At 40.9% G+C, this 9,523-nt stretch overlaps 1 protein-coding gene across 14 annotated transcripts in view; it reads left to right on the forward strand.

Moving 5' to 3' along the window:
- SMAD1 (SMAD family member 1) overlaps window positions 1–2,469 on the forward strand; it is a 78,407-nt gene extending 75,938 nt beyond the window's left edge. For all 14 annotated transcript variants that reach the window (XM_047415690.1, NM_001354812.1, NM_001354813.1 and 11 more), the window contains one exon: window positions 1,084–2,469. In XM_047415690.1, coding sequence (XP_047271646.1) covers window positions 1,084–1,227 — 144 coding nt within the window. In that variant the 3' untranslated portion in view covers window positions 1,228–2,469. The remainder of the gene's footprint in view (window positions 1–1,083) is intronic.

Raw genomic sequence — 9,523 nt, forward strand, 5'->3', positions numbered from 1 at the left:
TGAGACAGAGTCTCTCTCTGTCACCGACGCCAGAGTGCAGTGGCGTGATCTTGACTCACAACAACTTCCGCCTCCTGGATTCAAGTGATTCTCATGCCTGAGCCTCCCAAGTAGCAGGGATTACAGGGATACACCACCACACCTCGTTTTAGTAGAGACGGGGTTTCACCATTTTGGCCAGGCTGGTTTCGAACTCCCGACCTCAGGTGATCTGTCCATCTCGGCCTCCCAAAGTGCTGGGATTACAGGTGTGAGCCACCGCGCCTGGCCCCAGATGTATTTCTTAAAACTACGGGAGTAGATAGATAGCAGAAATAAATAGAACCCAACCTTCTCTGATATTCCTCATGAAACAGTGATTAAAGGATTAATCAGAACTTCACATTCATTGTCCACCCTCACCAATGAGTTTTTGATCTTTGCAGTAGCAGTTACTTTTCTCTTTTTCATAGTGACTTTATTCTATGGAACTGTATTGTCTTAATGCACTAATTCTGCCAAGCTACCTTCTTGTACAAATGAATGATAGAATGTATTGATTCATGGCAATGGCTAGGTGTCAATAATAGCTTTTTGGATACTTGAATGTACTCCTGCCCGTTTTGCTCAGAGATTGAAAGATCAAGAGCTGTGTGTTGATAGGGGGACCTTCAGTGGCTGAATAGGGAAGAAATTGAATGTCATTCTGTCTAGCATAGCTTTTTTGTTTTATTTTCTTGATGATAAAATGAGAATTTAATAATAGCTATTACATTACTATCAGTAATGGGCAATTAAAAGTTTTAAAGTGTCTTTATTAAGATAACTTTATAATGTATTTTAAAACCTTCATTCCTCAAGACCAGCAATTCTTATTGGAATCCATGGATGGACCCTGGGGAGCTAACATCCATCCCTTGAAATTGCCTGCGAAATTATGCGTGCGTTTGTGCATGTGTGTTTTTTTCTCCCCAGGGGCGGGGGGGTCAGGGAGGAAAGATGCATAGCTTTAATCAGAGTCTTTGGTTATGTGAACTCTTCTTACTTAATAAGTTTAACCACTGAGTTAAACAAGTTAAATGACCTCCAGTATGTTTTTCCTAGGGCTGGGGAGCAGAATACCACCGCCAGGATGTTACTAGCACCCCCTGCTGGATTGAGATACATCTGCACGGCCCCCTCCAGTGGCTGGATAAAGTTCTTACTCAAATGGGTTCACCTCATAATCCTATTTCATCTGTATCTTAAATGGCCCCAGGCATCTGCCTCTGGAAAACTATTGAGCCTTGCATGTACTTGAAGGATGGATGAGTCAGACACGATTGAGAACTGACAAAGGAGCCTTGATAATACTTGACCTCTGTGACCAACTGTTGGATTCAGAAATTTAAACAAAAAAAAAAAAAAACACACACACCTTGGTAACATACTGTTGATATCAAGAACCTGTTTAGTTTACATTGTAACATTCTATTGTAAAATCAACTAAAATTCAGACTTTTAGCAGGACTTTGTGTACAGTTAAAGGAGAGATGGCCAAGCCAGGGACAAATTGTCTATTAGAAAACGGTCCTAAGAGATTCTTTGGTGTTTGGCACTTTAAGGTCATCGTTGGGCAGAAGTTTAGCATTAATAGTTGTTCTGAAACGTGTTTTATCAGGTTTAGAGCCCATGTTGAGTCTTCTTTTCATGGGTTTTCATAATATTTTAAAACTATTTGTTTAGCGATGGTTTTGTTCGTTTAAGTAAAGGTTAATCTTGATGATATACATAATAATCTTTCTAAAATTGTATGCTGACCATACTTGCTGTCAGAATAATGCTAGGCATATGCTTTTTGCTAAATATGTATGTACAGAGTATTTGGAAGTTAAGAATTGATTAGACTAGTGAATTTAGGAGTATTTGAGGTGGGTGGGGGGAAGAGGGAAATGACAACTGCAAATGTAGACTATACTGTAAAAATTCAGTTTGTTGCTTTAAAGAAACAAACTGATACCTGAATTTTGCTGTGTTTCCATTTTTTAGAGATTTTTATCATTTTTTTCTCTCTCGGCATTCTTTTTTCTCATACTCTTCAAAAAGCAGTTCTGCAGCTGGTTAATTCATGTAACTGTGAGAGCAAATGAATAATTCCTGCTATTCTGAAATTGCCTACATGTTTCAATACCAGTTATATGGAGTGCTTGAATTTAATAAGCAGTTTTTACGGAGTTTACAGTACAGAAATAGGCTTTAATTTTCAAGTGAATTTTTTGCCAAACTTAGTAACTCTGTTAAATATTTGGAGGATTTAAAGAACATCCCAGTTTGAATTCATTTCAAACTTTTTAAATTTTTTTGTACTATGTTTGGTTTTATTTTCCTTCTGTTAATCTTTTGTATTCACTTATGCTCTCGTACATTGAGTACTTTTATTCCAAAACTAGTGGGTTTTCTCTACTGGAAATTTTCAATAAACCTGTCATTATTGCTTACTTTGATTAAAAATTTGTCATTTCCTTTATTCACCTACTAGATTTTAGGATCAGTAAAGTTTGCTACTCTTCTGAGAATTTTTTTCTCAAATATCCTCCACCAAACATGAATGAAATTACTAATACAGAGACTCGAACACAGCAGCATGAAGAGACCGGAGCCAATTTAAATCAAAACAAAGGACATGTACACCTTGAAAAATTGAGAAAAACTACCAAAATCTAAGTGTATAAACTTTTTAATTTTAGAAATTACAGCAGCAGCACTTTTTGGTTAGTACCATGCAGTCAACCAAAGCAGCAATTTCTAAACTTCAGATGAAGATACAAGCGTGACTGTGGGAGGAGGTAATAAAGGGGGAGGGATGAGAACTCACACTGCAGCAGGAGAAGATGACTACCTTTGCAGTCTACTTAAGGCTGGGATGATCCCAACACTACCCATTCCCCCACAAAAAAGTTTACCAATGAGGGACACAGATTGAAGGACACTTAGATTATTTCTTGGCCCAATAGATGCTATTCTTTCTCCTTTACATTTTTATGTGTCTTTCCTGGAGTGTGTTTATGAGACCTGAAATTTAAGGACCATCCCTTTTTAAACCTAGTTTTAAAGAAAAGAATGCCTTGCTTTTTCACCCCCAAAATACATTTATTCCCTAAACTATGACCAAGGAAAAATTTCTACTGCTGCTTTTTGTGTCCAAAAAACATCATGATATAATTAGAGAACGCCCCAGACAGAGGTCCTACATTATAACACAAATTCATGCACATCTTTGCTGGGTCACTTAACTTCTGTGAATCTCTGTTTCTTCATTTGTCAAGTGGAAATAATATAGTTGTGCCTTGTCACAAAATTGAGGTGAAGATGCCTTAAAAATGCATCTGCCATGCAAGTATGGGGATCACTTGAACTCTCCCATACGCTCTATTTTCCACTTACCTAAGTCATTTCAAGCTCAGTCAATCTAGATAATAGTGACTGGTGAGATATAATAAAAGTTGATATTAAAATTATTAAGCTTAACAGTGAAGTAAAGAGATAATGCAGGCTAGGATTCCTCATCCTTTTCCTAGTGAAAAGCCAATTTTGAGTTCCCATGGTTGCCTGGTGGGACAGTTAGGCAAGTTGTTAGTTGGGTGTAGCAATGCTGGTAGCCAGCTTGAAGTTCTATCAGATAAAACACCAGGATCATCCAGTAAATTGAAATCTCCTGGTTGGGGACCTGTGGAGTTTGCAACATGGTGCATAAGTAGGTCCCTCATGGTTAAGTGCAACTCTATGTATTTTTGGTGAAATCTTAGGAAGACCATTGTCATCAGCCATAGGAGGCTATTAAGTCTCTTGGAAAGGTTTAATTAAAGGAATGGAAAAAATCAACTATTAGAAGTGGAGGGCCCTAGAGCTCTTGCCTCATTCTTGATTTAATAGTATTTGACTTCCATCAAGTTTTTTAGTTTTTCTGCACCTGTTTCCTTATCTGTAAAATGGAGACAATAAAGCCTACCTCCTGGGGTTATCATGAAGTTTAAGCCGATACATGCAAAGCAATTAGAACCTCTTAATAAGTGTTAATACAGCCAGCTAAATCTGGCTGGGAAGACACCTGAAAGGAATTTCATTCAAGAGATGTTTGATGAAGACCTACTTACCTTTGAAGTATTTAATAAACACAGTGGAAGATTTTATCTTTGAGGAACTCAGAGTCTAGAGAGAGAAACCTGGAGAAAGAAAACTAGCAATGCTTGAGTGCCTAGCCTATTGTGTTCCAGGACTCTGCAAGGGATTCCCAAACATTGTCTGTCATCCTCCCAAGGACATATGAGATACTACTCTGTCCCCAACTCCTTATACCATTTTTCTTGCTTTTTTTTTTTTTTTTTTTTTTTCTTTTTTTTTGAGAAGGAGTTTCGCTCTTGTTGCCCTGGCTGGGGTACAATGGCGCAACCTCGGCTCACCACAACTTCCGCCTCCCGGGTTCAAGTGATTCTCCTGCCTCAGCCTCCCGTGTAGCTGGGATTACAGGCATGCACCACCATGCCTGGCTAATTTTGTATTTTTAGTAGAGACGGGATTTCTCCATGTTAGTCAGGCTGGTCTTGAACTCCCGACCTCAGGTGATCCGCCCGCCTCAGCCTCCCAAAGTGCTGGGATTACAGGCATGAACCACTGCACTTGGCAGTCATTTTTCTTATAAATGAGGAAATTTAACTCAGAAGCTAAATAAGTTGCCCAAAGTCACCTAGCTAGTTAGTGTGGAAGAGTTTCAATTCAGATCTGACTTTAAAATCTAGAGTTAATTCTATTAAATACTATATTCTTCTTTCTCGTGAGTTTACAGTCACATGTACTTACTATAAAATAAAGTAGAATGAAGAGCACAGAGGGAAGAAGAAGTAGTTCAGACTTGGTTGGATGGAGATCAGTGGAGTTTTTACAGAGGAAGTGGCATTTAAGATTGAGCTTGAATGATGGGAAGCATTTTGATAATTGGAGGAACTTGTGGGCAGGAGAAGACTCCAAGACAGATACCTGTTGTTTGCCATGCCCCAGCATCTACCCCCCAATTTTTAAAGATGTGCCTCCCGGCCTCAGGGTGACTGGGATTTATCATACTGCATGACATATCCCCTCTGGCTACTGTTGGGAATCTGCTCTTTGGGAATTCTGGAGCTAGAAGTAAAGTCTCTGCATGGCTGAAGATACAGTAAACCTTAGGCATTGTCCCCTGTCATCTCACCTGCTACATGGGCTGGAGACAAGAAAGAAGAGACAGAAATCTCAGGGCATCCAGTGTCCTGGGCCTAGGATTTACCAAGACCTGCCACATTTCTGTTCTTTGCTGTCCTTGGATACACCAGAATCTGTACAGATGCCCCCCTCCCCTCGCCTTTTGCTTAGTGTAGTTTCAGTTGGGTTTTTGTTCCTTAGAAGCAAATGAGGATTAAGTAATACAGTATGAAAATGTTTGACTTTTTAAAAAAAGATCTTTTTTAAATAGATCATTTTCTTTTAACCAAAATAATACTTGTTCATGAAAGATTTTTAAAGTATGGAATAAACAAGCAGAGTCACGCAGCGGAAGCGTACCAGGCCCATAAAGTACGGGATGAACAAAAAGAAGAAACCTAAAATTACCTGTATTAACCCATGATAATTGAATTAGTTTATCCTTGCACTAGGTGATGATAACCTGGCATAGAGATAGCATGCTATAGGAAATGCAAGTCTAGAGGTTAGTTGGATTACTTGCTTAGTAAAAAGATGATGATTGACTCCATTTTTAAAGCAGTTATTGAGTACTAATCCTGTGTTAGCCACTGTATTAGGTGAAAAAAGTGAATAAATCTCAGCCCAGCCCTCAAGGGGCCTGAACTCTAATGGGAAAGACAGACAAGTAAATAGACTGATGGCACAGTGCCATGATAGCAAGGGGCACAGAACAGTACATAACCCAGACAGGAGTAAGGGGAGACTTCTCAGAGGAGTAATGCCTCAGAACTGAGTCTTGCTGTGATAATAGGTATTACACAGCAAGGAATGGGGAGGAGGAAATGTGTACCAGGCAGAAAATAAGGCAAGACTGTTGGGAACAACCAGTAATTCTGCGTAGCTGGGGTGTAGGACAATTATATGCAATGGTAAGTAAGAGAATGGAGAGGTAGGAAGGGGCCAAGCCATTAAGAATCTTGTGTATGTTCTGCTAAGAAATGGGATGTTTCCCAAGGATTTTAGCTCCTAGGGATCTCAACCCAAGGATCAAACAGAACAGGAGCCAGGAGAAAACCAACAGCCAAGCATACACATAAGGGGGAGAAAGGAGCTAACAGAGTGAGAAATAATCATAGAAGCCAAGGAAAGCATTTCAACAAGCAGGGCTTGATTTACAAGATAGAGAAGGATGGAATTTAGAAGAACTTTACACTTAGTAACTAGGAAGTCTTTGATAACCTTAAAGTTTTGTAGGAGTGCGGCATAAAGCCAGATTACAAGGGACTAAAAAAAGTGGAGGAAAGAGTTTCTTCTTTTGTAAAGATGAGGTCTCACTATGTTGCCCAGGCTGGTCTCAAATTCCTAGGCTCAAGTGATCCTCCCACCTTGGCCTCCCAAAGTGGTGAGATTACAGGTGTGATCCACTGTGCCCAGCTCAAAAGCATTTTGATTCTAGAAAAGTTTATTGATGAGAAGGACACAAAGAGGATAGAATGAGTTGGCTGGAGAGATGAGTAGCTATGGAGAGAGGCTCTGTTAGAACAAGGAGCTATGGACATGCCTGTTCAATGATGTCTGCCTCTTGGTGAGGTCATCCACTCAAAGGGGATTAAGACCGGGCTGAAGAACAGAAAGGTCGGAGCAGCCAACTGTGATGAGAGGAGTCCACTAGTAATAAAGCAAAGCACTGCCAAGAAGTATCAATATGCACTGCAGAGGTTGGGTGATATGACCTTGATGTGGATTCAGTCCACATAATCATACAAAGTCTCTGGAATTTGGGGACCAAATCAGAGAAAAAGAATGGTAAAGTGCTTAGAGTTGAGGATCGGCAAAGCAGTCCTGGGGAAATTCTGTCAGACTAATGACCATGATTGGAATGATGGCCTATGTGGAGCAGGCTAAGAATCAAACTAGGAACAAGAAGCCAAAGGGAGTTGCTGGGAAGCTGAGATGACAGCAAAGCGTGCATTCAGTTTGAGTGTCCGCAGTCTTCAATCATTACTTCCCCCTAGAGAAATTTGAGAAGACAAGCATCTTGAAATTCTCGGAGATAATAAATCCTGAACCAAGGCCATTTCACGAGGGTTGCTAATATGAAACAGAGTTGCAAAAGTCATTGGAGGAGAGGAAAATCAAGGAACCAAGAAGTAGGCTGAGAGGAGCGAAGTGTTTTTGCTCCTCCTTGCATCACCAGGTAGTGCCTAACTCACAGTAGGCTTTCAGTAAAGAATGAATGAATGATATTGTCTAGTCTCATAGACATTTGAGTTATCTATGGTGATACAGGAGACACTGTGAATGTTACAGTGGAATTAGGGAAAGGGAGGGGCAGAGCCACCGTAGTGAAGAAACAAAAGTTAAACCATCAACAATCCAGAACAAGGGTCTGAAAAGGAAGATAAATGAGAAAGAAAACCAGGGCAAATCAGCAACATCTGTCATCCTGGGATCAGAATGATCTTCCACATGCTTGGCAGAGGCAGGTATTATACCAGAGCTCAGTAGACATTCATCTTCTGTCTTGTGTATCTTTTAAAGATTCCCTATACCTGAGGTTTTAGAAGGATTTCTGAAGAATTTCTAGCTGAGTTCACAGAGGTTGTGGTACTGTTAAATAAAGTAGGAACTCAAGAAAAACGAAAGAAGTGTGGGGTGAAGAAAATTAGGTTGGTGAAGCATACTGGCTGAGAATTCCCAGGCTCCTGAGAGTCTCCTTCTTTCTCATATTTCAGGTATGAACTAGTTGCTTCCCCATATGTTACTATGTCAGTAATATGCAGAATAAGAGCACATCCAGCAAGTGGAATGAATGGAATGTAGCGAGAAGGTCATAGAGAGAATAGCAGGAAAGGAATATGGCGATGGGGATACAAGATCTTTTCATCTCAGCCAGACCTCTCTTCTTCCCAAAGCACACTGTATTTCTAGCCACAAGTGAAACAATAGTGAATCTCTGAAAAGCTCATTGTCTATTGCCAACTCTAGGGACCATAAGCATAGGACATTTGGTATTTCCTGGGCTGATATAATATAATCATTTAGAACAGTAGGTATTTCTTAAAAGAATGTTTCATTTTATGCCTGCATTTTTGTGTACTACCAGGACTTATTAAAAAGAAATAATCTGCTGAGTGTCTTAAAAGTGTGCCAAATTTGGCCAGGCATAGTGGCTCATGCCTATAATCCCAGTACCTGTAACCCAGGGCAGGTGGATCATTTGAGGCCAGGAGTTCAAGACCAGCTTGGCCAACATGGTGAGACCCTGTCTCTACTAAAAAAAAAATTAGCTGAGCGTGGTGGTGCATGCCTGCAATCCCAGCTACTTGGGAGGCTGAAGCAGGAGAATTGCTTGAACCCAGGAGGCAGAGGTTGCAGTGAGCTGAGATTGCGCCACTGCACTCCAGCCTGGGTGACACAGCAAGACTCAGTCCAAAAAAAAGAAAAGAAAAGAAAAGAGCCAGATTCAGGTTTCACCCAACATAAAAGATGAGCTGTAGGCCACAATATTAATTGTTACATATACAAGTGTTTGTTTTTACTTTTTCTGGGATAATTGGGATTGCACAAATTGTAGGCAATTTACTGAAAAGTCTACTTTTTATTGTGTCTGGTAACCGTGTACCATGTGTAGTTTCATAATTCTTAAGTGGTTTCAAAAGCAATGGCTCCCCAGAGAGTGCTGTAGGGAAACCTCAGGCCTGCAGTTTTCAAGCACTGGAACTGTAAAACCACCTCAACAGATCTGGAAGCTCAGTGTTTGCAACTGAAAGGCCATGATCTATTCAGACTAAATGTTGGCTGATAATTAAAAGGCAGGGAATTTCCATATTTAAAACTTGAGGAGAGATGGCGAGATGGCTGACTAGACACAGCCAGGAGGAATATCTGCCACCGAGAAACCAGGACATTGGGAAGACTGGCATATTTCTAACAGATCTTCAGAAGGAAGGCATTGAGAGTGGATGTTGAGAAGACACAGATGCTGGGCTAAAGGGGGAGGAAGCTGGGAACCCTGCACGGGGCCACCGCACACTGGGACTTGGTCCTAGCCCCCAGTGACTCCTGGGGAAAGGGTGAGTTGAACAGGCAAGGAGCAACCCACTCTCACCATAGACCTCCAGAATCCTGACAGCAGGAGACTCCATGACCACCATGGCCACTTGAATTGACAAGGAGAGCTGCTCAGAGAAGTGGTGGGGGCAGAACTCCAGCTGGTGCAGAGCCCAGAGGGTTTTGTGCAGAAGTACATATAGTGGAGCATAGCCAGGGATGCCCATGACCATAGGCTCTGCTCACTCCCACAGGGGACTTTAGCTCCAATAGAACTGTCAGGCCTGAACTCTGCAGG

The sequence above is a fragment of the Homo sapiens genome, chromosome 4 (assembly GCF_000001405.40).
Source record: "Homo sapiens chromosome 4, GRCh38.p14 Primary Assembly".
Taxonomy (NCBI): Eukaryota; Metazoa; Chordata; class Mammalia; order Primates; family Hominidae; genus Homo; species Homo sapiens.